At 44.5% G+C, this 17,407-nt stretch overlaps 1 protein-coding gene and 1 non-coding gene across 3 annotated transcripts in view, besides 1 other annotated feature; both read right to left on the bottom strand.

Annotated features, from left to right (window-relative positions):
• Positions 11,694-11,988: a silencer, noted in NCBI's record as "tiled region #2437; HepG2 Repressive DNase matched - State 5:Enh, and K562 Repressive non-DNase unmatched - State 18:Pol2". NCBI's record gives its function as "represses a minimal TATA promoter and a strong SV40 promoter by Sharpr-MPRA in HepG2 and K562 cells {active_cell/tissue: HepG2 | K562}" and the evidence as "EXISTENCE:reporter gene assay evidence [ECO:0000049][PMID:27701403]".
• The window catches only part of UCK2 (uridine-cytidine kinase 2), an 84,005-nt gene continuing 78,879 nt past the window's right edge, over positions 12,282-17,407 (bottom strand). For both annotated transcript variants that reach the window (NM_001363568.2, NM_012474.5), the window contains one exon: positions 12,282-16,216. In NM_001363568.2, the coding sequence (NP_001350497.1) occupies positions 16,077-16,216 (140 nt within the window). In that variant the 3' untranslated portion in view covers positions 12,282-16,076. The remainder of the gene's footprint in view (positions 16,217-17,407) is intronic.
• MIR3658 (microRNA 3658) lies at positions 15,924-15,979 on the bottom strand. Its single transcript, NR_037431.1, has one exon. It is a non-coding gene; the product is annotated as a microRNA 3658 (primary transcript).

Below are 17,407 nucleotides of genomic sequence, written 5' to 3'. Positions count from 1 at the left end.
GATTTGGACTATAATGAAATGGTTTTTCTAAAAGCCAAAAATATGGTCACTGAAATTAAAAACTTGGTAAGTTTTAAACAGCAAACTAAACATGGGTGAAGAGCGAGTAACTAAATTGGAAATGATCTAAGGAGCTTAGCTACAATGTAGCTTGAGAGATAAAAAGATTAAAAATAAGGCAGGGCACAGTGGTACATATCAATAATCCCATCACTTTGGGAGGACAAGATGGGTAAATCGCTTGAGTCCAGGAGTTCGAGACCAGCCTGGGCAACATAGTGAAACCCCATCTCTACAAAAAATACAAAAATTAACCGGTCATGGCGGCTCACGCCTGTGGTCCCAGCTACTTAGGAGGCTGAGGTGGGAGGATCACTTGAGCCCAGGAGGTTGAGGCTGCAGCAAGCCATGATCACTCTACTGCATTTCAGCCTGGGCTATAGAGTGAGACCCTGTCTCAAACAAACAAACAAACAAAAAACAGATTAAAAATAAAATAAGAGAGTAAGAGACTTAGAAGAAAGAGCAAAAGGTCCTATGTACATGGAACCACAGATCAAAAGATAGAAAACAGAGAGAAAAGTGAGAAGGCAACATTAGAAAAGATAATAGCTATAAATTTTCTAGAATAGATGAAACACATAGAACTCGCCTTCAGGAAGCACATGCCCTAAGTAGGGTAAATAAAAATAAATCCACATTTCAACACATCATAAGAAATTGCAAAACATCAAAGAGAAATCTTTTTAAAAGACAGAAAACAGAAGACCAATCTATCCAAAATGTTGAGAGAAACAGCTAAATTATAACTCAAGAATGAGGGTAAAAAAAGGCATTTTCCAACAAAGAGTGTCCCACTAATAATTCTGACAAATAATTATGAAAAAAATGTGTGTTATGAAGAAAACTGAATCCATAACCAAGATTGACAATGCAAAATAAAATAGTGAACAAAGTCATTAGTAATAATCTGGGAAAATCTAAATGAGCACTGACAGGATAAAACAGTAATCGTAACTAATGTCAAGAATATAAAAGCAAGGTGGAACTATAATACTTAACATCAATAACATGTAAGATAGACAGAGTGGTCAGAGTTTAAGCTTTCAAAGCTTTCATATTGTTTAGGAAGAGGAGAGAAATACTGATTAAATTCAGATTTTGTCAACTATCCATGTCAATTTTAAAAGATGGCCACTAAAGTAAGAAAAATATAATGTGTGTAATTTTCAACCCTAAAAAGAGGATAAAAGTGAACATAAAAAATCTCAACTTTTGGTTAAACAGGATAGGTTGAACCACTGTTTTCTCTCTGCTGTCTTCTAACACCACTCTAAAAATAGTGAATTTAGCAAGATTGCAGAATAAAAGACCAATATATAAAAATCAATTGTATTCTTATATGCTTGCAATAAACAATCGTTAAGTTGGACTTCTAAAAAAATACTATTCACAATAGCATCATAAAATATAAAATATGTAGGGATACATCTGATAAAAGATATTTAAGACTTATACATTTAAAACAATAAAACATTGCTGAGACACTTTTAAAGACCAAAATAAATGGATAGATATATCTTGTTCATAAATCAAAAGACATAACACTGTTAAAATGTCAGCTGTCCCCAAATTGATCTATGGATTCAACACCATCCCAATTAAAGTCCCAGCATTTTTTGTAGAAATTGACAAGCTGATTCTTTAAAATTTATATAGAAATGCAAAGAACTCAGAACTGCCAAAACGATTTTGACAAAAAATAAAGTTGGAGAGCTGACACTACTAGATTTCAAGATTTATTATAAAGCTACAGTAATTAAGACAGTGTGGTATAGATGTCAAGATAGACAAATCAATGGAACAGAGTCTAGAAACAGACCCACATATATGGACAAATGACTTTTTCACAAAGGAGCAAAGGCAATTCAAAAGAGAAAGGACAGTCTTCAATTATGGTGCTAAAACACATGGATAGCACATGTAAAATAATGATATTACCTCACACCATCTTAAAAAATTAACTTACCAGGTGCAGTGTTTCAGGCCAGTAATGCCAGCGCTTTGGGAGGCTGAGGCAGAAGGATTGCTTTAGCTCAGGAGTTTGAGACCAGCCTAGACAACATAGCAAGACCTTGTCTCAAAAACTCAAAAACTTAGCCAGTCATTGTGTTGCACAGCTGCAATCCCAGGTACTCAGGAGGCTGAGGCAGGAGAATCACTTGAGCCCAGGAGGTCAAGGCTGCAGTGAGCCATAATTGCGCCACTGTACTCCAGCTTGGGTGACAGAATGAAAAAAAATAAAAAAAAAACCCACCTAAAACTATAAAACTTTTAGAAGACAACACAAGAGAAAAACTTTTGTGGCTGGGAGTGGTGGCTCACACCTGTAATCCCAGCACTTTGGGAGGCAAAGGGAAGCAGATCACTTGAGGTCAGGAGTTCAAGACCAGCCTGGCCAACATAGTGAAACCCGTTTCTACTAAACATACAAAAATTAGTAGTGGTGGTGGGTGCCTGTAATCCCAGCTACTCAGGAGGCTGAGGCAGCAGAATTGCTTGAACCTAGGAGGTGGAGGTTTCAGTGACCCGAGATCATGCCACCGCACTCTAGCTGGGGCAACAGAGCGAGATTCCGTCAAAAACACACACACATACACACACACACACACACACACACACACACACACACAAAAAAAAAAAAAAAAAAAAAAACACTGGCTGGGCATGGTGGCTCACGCCTGTAATCCCAGCACTTTGGGAGACCTAGGTGAACAGATCATGAGGTCAGGAGTTCGAGACCCGCCTAACCAACATGGTGAAACCCTGTCTCTACTAAAAATACAAAAATTAGCCGGCTGTGGTGGCATGCACCTGTAGTCCCAGCTACTCAGGAGGCTGAGGCAGCAGAATTGCTTGAACCTAGGAGGTGGAGGTTTCAGTGACCCGAGATCATGCCACCGCACTCTAGCTGGGGCAACAGAGCGAGATTCCGTCAAAAACACACACACATACACACACAAAAAAAAAACAAAAAAAATAAAAAAAATAAAACACTGGCTGGGCGTGGTGGCTCACACCTGTAATCCCAGCACTTTGGGAGACCCAGGTGAACAGATCACGAGGTCAGGAGTTCGAGACCCGCCTAACCAACATGGTGAAACCCTGTCTCTACTAAAAATACAAAAATTAGCAGGCTGTGGTGGCATGCACCTGTAATCCCAGCTACTCAGGAGTCTGAGGCAGAACAATCGCTTGAACCTGGGAGGTGGAGGCTGCAGTGAGCCGTGATTGCACCACTGCACTCCAGCCTGGGCAACAGAGCGAGAATCCATCTCAAAAAAAAAAAAAAAAAAAGTGACATTAGATTATGCGAAGATTTATTAGCTATGGCACCAAAGCAAAATTGATAAGTCAGACTTCATCAAAATTTAAAACAAGAGCTTTCTAAAAACAGTGTCGTTTAAGAAAAGAAAGACAAGCCATGGAATAAGAGAAAATACTTGCAGAGTATAAATCTGAAAGTGACTTGTACCCAGAATACGTAAAGAACTCTCAAAACTCAGTAAAGAAGGCCAGGTATGGTAGTTCATATCTGTAATCCCAGCACTTTGGGAGGCTGAGGCAGGAGGATCACTTGAGGCCAGGAGTTCAAAACCAGCCTGGGCAATATGGCAAGACCCCATCTCTCTTAACGAAAAAAAAAAAAAAACTCAATAAGAAAACAAACAACCCTCCTCCAAAACAATGAGCGAAACTTTGATATACAAAACATGGATGAATCACAAAATTGTGCTGAGTGAAAAAAAGCCAAACAAAAAGAAAAGGAGTACATACAATATGATTCCACTTATATAAAATTCTATAAAACACAAAGTAATCTCTAGTGAGAAGAAGGCAGGTCAGTGGTTCCCTGGAGTAGGAGGGAGGATTACAAGGGAGCATGAGGAAACTTTAGGAGGCGATGAATGTTCACCATCTTGATTTTGGTGATGGTTTCAGAGGTGGATACATATCTCAAATTTATCAAATTAAACACTTTAAATGTGTGTAGTTTATTTTATGCCCTTTATACCTCAATAAAGCTGTTTTTTAAAAATAAAATTATATTAACAGATGTCATTGACTGAGTGCTTGTCATGCTTGATTGTTTCTTTTTGGTTATATTATCATTGCACATTTCTTATTTTATTCAGGGTAGGCATGCAGTCAACTAAAAGGATCACATATCTCAACCTCCTTAGCAGGTAGATGTAGACCTAGACTAAGTTCTGGCCAAAGAGATGTAAGCAGAAGTGTCATGTGGTGTTTCTGGAAAGTCTTCCTTAACAGGAATAAGGCATGCCCTTCATCTCTTCTTCCTTCTGTATAGAATGAAGATCTGCTGACTGTGATTCCAGCAGCCTTTTCAGACCATAAAGTGACTTTGAAAGCATCAACCAAGTGCTGATGATAGGAACGGGAGCCTGAGTCCCTTACGATATGATGAAACCACCATATTAGCTCCAGACTTCCACACCCTAGACTTCTGTGAGAAAAGTCAACTTCTACCTTGCCTAAGCCAGTTGTTTTGGTTCTTTGTTTTTCTATTATGTGCCATTGAACCTAGTCCTCACTGAAAGAGCCTCCCTCAGTGATGTTCAGTATGGTGGGGCTAACTCTCTGGTAGTGGGGTACTTAGGTCTTATGACAAGTTGACACCTTGAGTGAACATTGTCTTCATGCTTCCTGCTAGCTCACAGACATTGCCCCAAGCCTGGCTGACACAGGCTTTGATTCCCTGAATCCACTTTGCTGTTTTCATCTGCTCTAATCTGCTTTCTGGCTTTGTGTGGACATCTTATTTTCCTTACAAATACATTGGTCAGGGCTGAACTCGATCAATTCTTAATACCACTTTGGCCCAGTTGCACTTTGTACTGAAAATAAGTAACACAGTATATGTTTGTGTTATAGTTTTTTTTTTTGCTTCCAATTCATGTTATATCGATTATTTCACATGGTCTTCTAAACCACTAAATTGAGGAGGGCAGAGATGACACTCTCATCTCTCAGATGAAGAGGACTGACAGAAGCGAGCAATCTACAAATGTCCCCAGGAAAGAGTGGGGCGTTGAGAGTACAGCGAGGGCCCCGACTCTGTGCCTGTCCTGTGCTGCAGAACAGCTCTCCCTCAGTCACTCACTCCTTTATTCCCATTTGTTTTTCAAATGCTTGCCAAGCACCTGCTCTGCAGCAGGAACCTGCCATCCCACGTGTTGGGGACACTAAGAGGAGCCAGACATGCTCCGGGCTCTCAAGGAGCCACCAGTGCAGAAGAGGCCACTCACCATACACACCCACAGTGCCATGGACAAGCAAGCTGTCAGGGTGGCGTCTCGGGGTAGATGATGGAGGTGCAAGGAAAAGGACAATTCCCTGGTGTCTTCCCTTATCTGTTTTTAGGTAAGAACTAGAGCATTCTACTATTTCCTCCTCTTTTCCTTTGATTACCAGTCATTTCCACCTTCCATTCATTCCAGTCATCTCCTCTTAACCTCTGTGGAATAAATGGACTTTAATGTGTTCCCATCTATTCAATATCATTGCAAATATTTTGCCAGTTTATCATATTTCTTTTTGGCAACTTACTGTTTACTTCTCTCCACCCTGGATTTCTTTGAGAGAGATTCACTTTCTCTTCATCCATTCCTTAAAACATTTACTCTTCCTGCTATGAGGTGACCCCATCTCCCATCAGTATATCCTCTGAAGCCTTCATGTTCCAGGCCTTCCTCTCCTTGGCTCTGGTTAGCTGTCCTCCTGGCATCACTCATCACTGGGCTTTCAGAGGCAGAACCCCCAAAGCCTGAGTTTCTCCTGCCTTCCATCAGACTTAGGGCTAGGAAAACATAACCTTTACCAAAAGGCAGTGTGATGGTAGAACATCCACTAGACCAGGGCCTAACCAAAGCCTTGCTCTCTAACTAGCTAACCATGACCTTGGACAAATCACCTTCTTTCTCTGAACCCCAATTTCCCCTTAGGTAAAACAATAGGATTCAACTGCAGCCTTGCCCAGCCCTGACATGATATAATTCTAACTATATTGACCGGTGCTGCCCAGTGACATGGCCACTAGGCATGTGGCCATTGAGCCCCTTGACATGTGGTTAGTCCAAATTGAGATGTGCCATGAATGCAAAATAGACACACCAAAGACTCTGTACAAAAAAAGCATGCAAAAATCTCATGAATAATTTTATATTAATTACATATTAAAATAATATTTTGGATAGTTTATATGAATAAAATATAATGCAAAAATAAATTTCACCTGTTTTGAGTTTTTTGTTTTGTTTTTGTGTGTGTGTGACAGGGTCTCACTCTGTCACCAAGGCAGGAATGCAGTGGTGTGATCACAGCTCCTGCAGTCTCAAACTCTCAAGCTCAAGTGATCGTCCCACATCAGCCACCCAAGTAGGACTCTAGGTACGCACCACGATGCCAGGAGTCTTACTATGTTGCCCAAGCTGGTCTCAAACTCCTGGCCTCAAACCATCCTCCCACCTTGACCTCCCAAAGCACTGATTACAGGCACGAGCCACTGCACCCAGTCCTGCCTTTTACTCTTTTAAAAGTGGTTCCAAGAATGTTTTAAAATTGTTTCTACTGGCCAGAGCCAGTACAATTATCTCACAAGAAGCCTAGCACCACTGACTGAGGCTCAGCTCATTCCACACACAGGGTAAAGAGGAAAATCTTCGGTCTAACTTAGTCTCCAGGTGACTAGGATGATTTGGATCTGGACAGGGGTTCATAACCTGAGGATAAAGCACTGAGCAGAATTCAGGTAATCCATGAACTTGAAAAATGACATCTATCTTTTCACTATCCTCTAACTGAAAGTTAGCAATTGCTTCCATTATGAAGGCAATTTGTAGGCATCATAGAAATATTGGCTGTATTTGTTTGTCAGCAACAGAAATCAGTTATTTTCATAACACATTATTGTTGTTACAGAATTGCAAAATATCACTCAGGTGCATCACTACCACACAATTTTGGTAGATATTAGACCTGCTGCTGGATCTTGTTATTTGACGTGTTACTAAAGCAACACATACCTTACCATATCCCAGATTTGTCTTTATGTTTTGGTAACTGTACTGCAATTTATTTCCTTTGATATTTGTGGGGTGTTATTTCATGTATGTAAAAACATTCTGAGAAGGGGTCCTTCTGTAGCCTGCTAGAGGGGTTCATGGCACTCCCCCACAAAATATATGTATATAAACCCCAACTGACAAAGATGGGGTATTTTCATCAGCCAGGGTACTGGAACACCCTGAATAGAGGCGGACACTAGGCCTAAAGGGGTTCCAGGCACGAGGTAGACTGTCTCACTAAAGATGCCAAGTGTCCCTCAGCTTGTCTGACCCCCTAGGCAGCCCCTTTAGCTGAAGAATCAGAGGACACAATATTAGACCCTTTCGTTTTGATGCCAGGACTTTTTGATTTTCACTATTTTGAAGAAATGGTGAAACACACACCATTAAATTGTAGGATCCCTTTAAAATTACTAAATAATATGTGCAACAGATATCCTTCCTTACGCCATCCCCGAACCAAACTTCCATATCACAACCTCACCCCAAAGTGGGCATCGGGATTGGCAAAGGGCCCAGAAATGGGTGTGTCTCAGCCTGCGAGGCACAGAGCTCCAGGGGTAGGCCAAGCTCTAAAACCCATTTGATGTCTGATCAAAATATCCTGCTTTGGTTTTACTAAACCCTTCTCTGCAACAGCTGAGTTTAGCCTAGGGGCAGGGCTCTAGCAGTGGCTGCTGAGAAGTCTAGTTTAGGTATTCTTTCCCAAGCCAGCCAGCCACTCCCAGATCTCTGGACAACACAGCCTCACCCACAACCCAAGCACCAGGGATAGACTAGAAGCACAAAATCAGCCACCACTCACTGGGCAGCTCTTGTGCCAACACTGTCCTGCCACTCTACCTGTAAAGTCTCATTCAATACTCTAGGCAAAACAAGGAGGTTAGCCCTGGGTTATGGATGTAGACACTGAAGCCAAACAGCTTCCCCAAGACCAGCTATTAAGTGAGGGAGCCAAGTTTTTAATCCAGGTCTGTTTAACTCCAGAGATATTTCCCCAAACAAGCCACCTCCCCACTTGGTTGAGGCCAGCCAACACTGAGGTCCTTGAGGAGAAGGTGGAGTCCCTTTTACAGAACTCAGCGGATATCAACTAACCAAACATAACTTGTAAACAGTGTTCAGTTCTCTGTAAAGCCCTAATCCAATCCACTGCAGACCTACAGCCCAACAATGGGCTCTTGACCTGGTCACTTTGCTTCTGGGTCTATTTCGTCATCTGTGAAGTGAGAAGCCTGGGTTTAAATGGTTTCCAAGCTCAAGGGAGAGGCTAAGGGGAGGCTCCAGACACCCCTTGCCAGTTTCAACCACACAGCTTTGCTTTCCTCTGATTTGCATGTTGAAACTTCAGGTAAGATTTCCTGAAGGGATCCATAGCCAAAACATGTTTGAAGGCCACTGGGCTCGCTAACTTCTAAAAGCACCCCAGTTCTAGCAGACATCCTAAGGAACATTCCCAGGAAAATTCCAGCCTAGAACCTCCTGGGGTCTGACAACCTTAGAGAACAGTGCTGGCTTTGAATGGGCTTGGGGGCAGCCTCGAAACCCTCTTTCCAGTCTCCATGCAGGCAGGGGAGCTCCTTAAGCAACACATAGGACATTTCTGGGAGAAATGGGATCCCCAACACAATGAACACTATAGATTTTAATGGTCTATATGGTTAAATACACAAGGCCCCTCATTTCCAACCCCGCCTGTTCATCTGATTCATCTGTACAGTTTGTTATAAAAGATTCCCTCCCCAACATGGTAAAACCCCATCTCTAGAAAAATAAAAAAATAGTTGGGCATGGTGGTGCACACCTGTAGTCACAGCTACTCAGAAGGTTGAGGTGGGAGGATCGCTTGAGGCCAGGAATCTGAGGTTGCAATGAGCCATGACCATGCCACTGCACTCCAGCCTGGGCAACAGCAAGACCCTATCAAAAAAAAAAAAAAAAAAAAAATTCCCTCCCTGGAATTCTCAGGAATGGATCCCACTAAAGTTTTTAAACAAGCCCACCCACTGATTATGATGGCCATCTTGTGGAACCACTACAACAGATGGTAGCAATAGAGAAATTAAGAGGGTCAGCTTCCATCTCCCCTAGTGAAGACTTTAATAAAAGATTTTCCAAAAGCCAGGTGCTGTGGTGCATGCCTATAGTCCCAGCTACTCAGAAGGCTGAGGCAGGAGGATCCATCCCTTCAGCCCAGGAGTTCAAGACCCACCTGGGGAACAGCAAGACCTGCCCCATCGCTTAAAAAAATTTTTTTTCCAGAAAAAAAAGAGACTTCTAGGGACATTCCAACAACTCTCATAAACCATGGTAGCCAAGCATATGCCAAGTTCAGCAACCAAAACAACCTTCCTGTTGCAATCTGAATCCCACCATTAGATGGCAGGCACACATCAGACAACCTGACTATACAGCCTGTCCTACTTCGCAGCAGTTGCTTTGGGTTTAAATCAAGTTTCCTTCTCAGTAAAACTGGAGCATGACCACATTCCTTATATATTTCGCAGGACTGTTTTAAGGATAAAATGAAAAGTGTAACGAGAGCTGGAAAAGGTGAATATGAACATTACAATGCAAACTGGAAATTTCAGAAACAGAAGAGAAAGCACATGCCATTATAAAGAGAAATCTTGAGAACATCCACAACTACAATTATCTTGGGTGAAAAACTCCTGGGCTTTTCAGCATAGAATTCCACCATCACATGTGAGCTATTTAGGCAGAGGCCATGGTGGCTTTCCCTGGACCAGAACAGTCAGAATTCAGTGAACACTGCATTAAACCCTGCACTGTTTTCATTCTGGGCACCATGTCATAGGCACCATTGGATCTAGTCCATAGGCACCATTGGATCTAGACCAAACACACCCTAATATGAAAAGGCAATGCTAAGCGTGGATTTGACTGTATGAAAAGGGAGTGTGTATAAGGCACAACTTCATATTCTCCTGCCCCTCACCTCCATTCATTTAATTGAGAACATATATCTTGGTTTAGTCCTAACTCACATTTTTTTACTTGGTATTTTGTTATTTTAGTTCATGAAAAAATTATAAGCATATGTGTGTGTGTGTGTGTGTGTGTGTATACACACGCGCACACACACACACACACACACACACAATCCAAAATCTAGCAAGTAGCTTTACTTCATTCTGGGTTTAGGAAGTGATCTGATTACAGTCTGCTTTAAAATAGAAATCTAAAGGCTGGGCGCAGTGGCTCACGCCTGTAATCCCAGCACTTTGGGAGGCCGAGGCAGGTGGATCACGAGGTCAGGAGATTGAGACCATCCTGGCTAACATGGTGAAACCCCGTCTCTACTAAAAATACAAAAAAAAAAAATTAGCCAGGAGTCGTGGTGGGCGCTTGTAGTCCCAGCTACTTGGGAGGCTGAGGCAGGAGAATGGCGTGAGCCTGGGAGACAGAGTTTGCAGTGAGCCGAGATCGCGCCACTGCACTCCAGCCTGGGCAACAAAGCAAGACTCTGTCTCAAAAAAAAAAAAAAAAAGAAAGAAATCTAAACATCCCCCCAGCACCAAATAACAGAAATCCATCTCTGGTTCCATCCTCTCAAAGCACTTTCCCACATCCCAAGTCTCCTTCTCCACCCCTTATTTAAAACCTTTCAGCAGGTCCTAACAAGTTTCTTTTAATCTGCCCCAATTAGGGTTTGATTAAAGCAGCACTAGTCAAACAGGCGTCTCCTCCTAGCTGTGGAGCTGGAGGATGGCTCAGAGGATGTTGTGACACAAGGGTGGGGAGACAAAAATAAAAAATCAACTCTGGGGCATTACTGGCCTGTACCACGGTCCCCTCTAACTACAACAAAGGTGCAGAAACACACTGTGAGAACCAACTGGCATCCCAAGCAAAGCATCAAAGTCCAGAGGTGGTCGGCTTGGGACAGGTGAGACTGCGAGCAGTGCAGAGGGAAACTGAACCACAGCTAAGCACCGGCTTGCACGACCACTGCCTGTGTGACACCAGGCAAGCCACTCACTGTGACACACAATGTCTTCACCTGCCAGAAGTTGACAATGCTTACATTAGCTCTTGCAGGGGCACCTGCGTGTTGTTTAAAATAGCCACCTTTTGAGGGCAGATCCTGTTAAAAACCTGCTAAATTCACAGATGGGGTTGCACCTGTCAGAGTGGAGTGAGTGGCTAGAAAGAAAATGGCTCTGCTCATCAATGACAGTCATTGGGTGCCTGGTAGGCAGTGGTAGAAGAGTTGAATGAGAAGCTAAGAAAGGTGGCAAGCTGATAGGGGATAGGGCACCACAAACAACAGAGAAGCCGTATTTTTTTCCTTTTTTTTTTTGAGACAGTCTTGCTCTGTTGCAGTGGTGTGCAGCGGTGTGATCTCAGCTCACTGCAATTTCTGCCTCCTGCGTTCAAGTGATTCTCGTGCTTCAGCTTCCCGAGTAGCTAGGATTACAGGCATGTGCCACCACACCTAGCTAATTTTTGTTTAGTAGAGATGGGGTTTCACCCTCTTGCCCAGGCTGGTCTCAAACTCCTGGCCTCAAGCAGTCCTCCTGCCCTGGCCTCTCAAAGTGCTGGGATTATAGGCATGAGCCACCACACCCTGACAAAAGCCAATCATCTATCTTTGGTGGGTAGCCTAGGTCTTTGAAAAACAGGGATAGACACACACATACATCCATTCACTGCGTGTGGACAACATGGAACTGTTTGTGTTGTTATAATGTAAACTTTCCTCATCTTCCACCCATCTCCCTCAAAAAAGTTTACTTTAAAAGGGTTTGTTTGAGCAAGGAAGGGGCTGGGTCACCAGCCTAAGGAAGGCAATGGGGCAGAGGCCAGGTAAACTGGATGGAATCAGGGGAACATAGCGCCAGGTTGTCCTAAGAACCAAAGGCTCCCAGAAACCCTGGCCCGGGCTTCCCACTTGACAAGAACTGCAAGTCCACTAACCTGAACCAGTATCTGAGCCCAGGTGAGGCCTGGGGTCTGCCCCACATACACCCCAGGATCATGAGGCTTCGTGACAGCAGGCCCAGTGACATCTACACCACACATGCACAGCATGGCCCTTCCTGAGCCACTTGGGCCACACAGCCAGGATTCGGTCGCTGCTCTGGGCCAAGCATCACACAGAAGGCGAGAGCCTTTTTGTCTGTCTTTATTTACAGCAAAGTACATAATATGTGGTCACTTTGTAACCACTAACAATAAAGGTAGGGTGGTAAAAAGAAAAGGGAGAGGAGCAAGCATCTTAAAAGGGGGGAAAAAAAAGCCTAAGTCTGTATTTAGCTACTCACCCTGCTCCTGAGGCAGGACTGGGTAGGCACTCCCTGCCTCTAAGACCACAGCCAAGCTGACCTGGAATGCCAGTCCCCGGTATGAGGAAGGCAGCAGAACGCCCAGAGACAAAAGATTAAAGGGGACTGAGCTCTGGATGCATCCACTTATGCTTTGCCAGACAGTTCCCTTCCTTGTTTTGTTTGAATGCTTCCCCCACCCCGCCCTGAGCAAAGTGTAAAGGGCAACGGTGGTACAGAAGTACAGGCAGTCCCTTCCAGAAGCAGTCCTGAACCGCATAACCCACCTACCTAGCTGCTCCTCAGCCTGCCGAGTTCTTGGCCCTGGAATCTTTAACAGGCACATAGGAGATTCCAGGGCAGGGGAAAATATTTCCCTGCAAGAGGCTACTTCCCTCCAACAGCTGTGAGGGCCAGTGCAGGTCAAGGTTGCTAAATCAAGGAAAGTGCACAAGGGCAAGAGAGGTCATATACAAACCAACCAGGCTTCCGGCCCTCCTGCTGCCCGACTGCTCCGAGGTGTACACAAGCCTCCAGCCCGACCCAGCGGCCTAATGAAACTCTGGCAACCTATCCTGGGCGTGGCCACAAGTATCCAGCTCCAAGCCCAAGTGAGGCGGGGAGTCAACTTCCCCATGATTGCCAAGTGGCCAAGACCAGAAGCAGGGATGATTAGGCTAGTTCTGCGGCAAGGTGAACTGGAGACCCTGTCTCTGCCCTCCTTCCCTGGCCTGTCCCACAGACATCCCGTTGTTTAACCCACTGCCTTTGCAAGGACCTGCTCTGTCCACTCCAAATCAAAGGATACTTGCATCCTTCTTACACAGACTCCCATCTCTCTGCTCATAGTGGTCCCAGGCTGCCCGAGAAAAAGAAACTTGGGTCAGTAGAAGGCTCATTAGTGTGAAGGAGTGAGAGGCCAGGCCTTCCTGTGACATAATGCTTCTATGCTTGTTTCCTAAACACTTGGTCCACACACAATACCTGGGCAGGAAGAGAGAACCAAGCACCACTGGATGGCTCTGGAGCCAGGGGACTTCTATGCACATACAACCAACATCACCCCACTCTGCTCATCTGTGCCTCCACCCTGAACAGCAGAGTACCTAGATGGCAAATGTCATGGTTTCTGGTCCACTAATTCTACTCCTGACTCTCCATGGAATCAGAGACCCAGAGGCTCTTAAAAAACTAAGACCATTGTTTGTTCCATAGAAAGCTCAAGTTCAGATACAGAGTTGGCCAAATGCTGGGCTGCCACGGAGGGGTAGAGCCTTCCATCCCTTCCTTGTTCCAGAAACAGTGTGTCACAGACCCCAGCAGACACTGTTCATTGTCCCCAGCCAAGCCACCAAGAATTGGTGATCATTTGACAAGGGGCAGGGCAGCCCTTATAGCTGTTTCCAAGCTAGGAGTGGGCTATTCAGAGATATTGGAGGCTTGGTCCCAACACCACAGGTAGATGAGGAAGCAGCTAGGTAAAGGCTCAGAGATGAGAGGAGTCCATCTTCCAAGGCAGTGGGATAAACAGCCAAGGCACTAAATGGTTTGGCACCTGGGAGCTTCAAGTAAAGTTGAGCATGCTGCCCACTGAAAAGCCAAGGCTCTCCCAGACACGGGTGGGCTTCACCTGAGCACAGCCCAGTGCCATCAAGGCCAGGGGCCCTGTGTCCTCAGGATACTAACCCAGGCCTGCATTCCCTGCTTCATCTCAGAACTGATCAAGGCATGACTACAAGGATAATGATTGATCCTGAACTGATCTTGGTGAGCACCGGCTTTCAAAGGAGGCATCTTGGGAGCCTTCCCTTGCTCCAAGTAGGCGGCTGCTGTGACTGGGAGCTCCCTTCAGAGCCTGCACGGTCTCCTGAAAGTCTCCGGGTGGCAAGCTCTGCTGGGGACCAGGTTTGACTTTTTAAAATAGCAAAACAGATTTAGAGTCAAACTGAGCCCAGAAACGGGGAATCAGACTGGATGGTGCTGAGTCTGGGGGAAAATCTGGTGTGACCAGGTAATAATGGAGACCAATTTACCTGAATGGCTCGAACAGGCTCTGAGAGCAATGGGAAGAAAAGGTTCTCCAAAATGTTTCTGGCAATGGCAGCCACAGTGGGATAGCTAAGGGCACAGTCCACCAAGCACTAGGGTGGTCAACAATGAAATGAACATCTCTGGCTCTTCTGCAGTCAGAAACTGAGGCTCGGGACTCTATAATCAGAACTCCTTCAGGCTCACTTGGGCTCCCCTCCACCCAGAATGTCAGGAATCTGTACTTCCAGAGAAAACACTACCACCAAGCAGCAGCTCTCAGGAAAGCTAGAAATCTCCACCCCAAATATTTCAACCTCAGGCTCCAACTTAGGTACCTATGATTTAAATACTCTCCTTTTAAATACTTTGTAAAAACTGCTTTTCCGAGCCCCTTTTATGCTCTGCAGTTGCCATATCCACTAGGTGGTATTGCAAATAAGTAAAGCATCCTGGCCATGACGCTGCTAGTGAGAATCCCTGACCAAAGTTACTCTCCTCACCTCACTGCAAACCTCCAGGAAGCGGAAACTACTACCCCTCCACAGACAGAGCTCCCCTGCCACTCCATGAGGCGCTGCTGCCGGCATCAGTTACCGAAGCCCTCACCCACACCCAGCCTGCAATGGTCCACTCTATATTCCACAATACAGGAAAAAGCCCAAGGAGTCAGATCAGTTACGCCCCTGGGATGCAGAAAGAACCAGTGATTCTTCAGATATGACAGCAGGCAAAGTTCTGCCCTCTCCTTCCCATCTTCTATCAGGAAGCGATCCCATAAAATCTCTTCCAGGGAAGGAAAGAGGCAGCTCTGGCTTCTTGGAGAGACAGAGAAGCAGGAGGGTGAGGAAGGAGTCACCAAGCTATCCAAGCAGCCAGAGGCGAGAAGGTGGGAGCAGGGCAGGAAGAAAATGCAGAAGACTTGTTCTCCTCAGTGGGCCTCTTCCCTGAGTTTGATTTTTGAGTTGAGATTTTACCTAATTTCAACTCAAAAAAAAAAAAGAAAAGAAAAAAAAAAAAGACAAGAGTATCTCTCATTGACATATCACTAAGCTCCAGCTCCAAGAGTGGCATGTGACAGAGGAGGCAATCAAGGTTTTCCAACCCCATTCCCATCAAGTTCCACGGGGCACTCAAAAGCAACTGGACCTTAGCCACCCTCCCTGTCTCTCACAGATGCCCGAGCCTCCCCACCCTGGGACACAACAGGCAATTTCCCCTTGGTGAAATTCCAGCTCCAGTCCTAAAACACTCAAGTACAGACCCTCCTGCAAAATACTTATGGCAAACAGCTTTACAGTATTTGTACATTTACACAAAAATAGATCCTTTTTTATATATATATGTATTTATAACTGGTTACACGTTGGATTCATAATTAGGCATCACCAGTAGTAGTTGGCACAGTTTTGTTATTTAAGCTCAGGGTCAAGTTCTGTTTCATTTTGTCGTTCCAAAGTACAAAAAGAAAAAAAAAATCAAAGGCATTTCATCTCCATGGTGTTTTCTTAAATACAGTAATGTCATAGGAAACAGTATGTACAGATGAGCAGTGCCTCCTGACCCCTCCTCTGTCTCTTGGAGATAGGGGCTGGGGTCCGATGGAGACGGGTCAATGCGGCCTGCTGCTGGACTCCGATGCCTGCCTCTTGCGTGAAGGGGTGTAGCCGTTGAGACAGCCATTGGTCTGCCGTTTGGAGGGCCCTCCATTCAGGATGTCCTGGATGTGCTGCACGATGAGGTTGATGGCCACTGTGGGGCAGAGACCAGCAGAGCGTTACGGGTGCAGGCATGGGTGCAGGGGTGAGTGTGGGAGTCTGTCTGGGGGAAGGGCATGCAGGAACCACAGTAGAAAGACTTCCAGGGAAGTGGCTCTGCCACTTGCAGGCAAGTCATCCAACTTCCCAGTGGCTCTGCCTGAGCTAATATGATCCTCCTCCTTCACAGGAGGGCTCTAAGGAGTAAGATAGACAATGCCTACCACAGAGTAAGCCCTTAATGAATGGGCTTCTTATCAGGAGATGATCAGTCACCACTGGATGAAGCACTCGGGCCAAAGTCTGCAGACGTGGTAACCAGCCATGGTTCTGACACGTCAATTAGCTATGAGACCTTTCCACCAGGGAACCTTCCAGTTTTCCATCCTAAGACAGAGCATCCCTATGGAAGGCCCTCTTTCCCTCCAAAAAATATAATGCAGAGAGCTATCTTTTATTAGCATTAGAAATAAATTATATACCTCAACCAAGAGGTCAATTTAACATCACCAAAAATGGAATACACATCAAATGCTTTCTGATGTGATACACAAAGAGGACCACGCCACATCTCTCCTGGGATAATTCCTTCAGACTGTATAAGCTCATGAAACCAATCATAAGAAAATAAAAGACAAACCCAAATTGAGGACCATTCTACCAAACAATGGGCCTGTACGCCTCAAAAATGTCTTAAAAAACAAAAGATAGGGAACATCTCCAGGTTAAAAGAGGTCATATCAATGGTAAATGTCTTGAATTTAATGACTGCATTCTGCTGATGAATAAGAATGCCTTTGTTCTTAAAAAATACAGGGTTAAATATTTATTGCTATAACTTACTCCCAAACAGCTCAAGAAATAATCTTTTTAAATGGAGGGAAAATTAAATAAATTCTAAAGAGAATGAAGAAACCAGGTCCTATTTTACAGATCAACTCTGCCACACTACGCCTAGTCCAGAGACATTCATACTTCCTAGACAGGCCAAAAAAATAAATAAAACAATGGGGCCAGGTGCTATGGCTCACGCCTGTAATCCTAACACTTTGGGAGGCTGAGATGGAAGGGTCGCTTGAGGTAGGAGTTTTAGACCAGCTTAGGCAACATAATGAAACCATCTCTACAAAAACACTTTTTTAAAATTAGTGGACCGTGGTGGTGCAAGCCTGTAGTCCCAGCTACC

Source organism: Homo sapiens, chromosome 1 (assembly GCF_000001405.40).
Source record: "Homo sapiens chromosome 1, GRCh38.p14 Primary Assembly".
Taxonomy (NCBI): Eukaryota; Metazoa; Chordata; class Mammalia; order Primates; family Hominidae; genus Homo; species Homo sapiens.
This window is presented reverse-complemented; position numbering and strand designations above follow the sequence as displayed.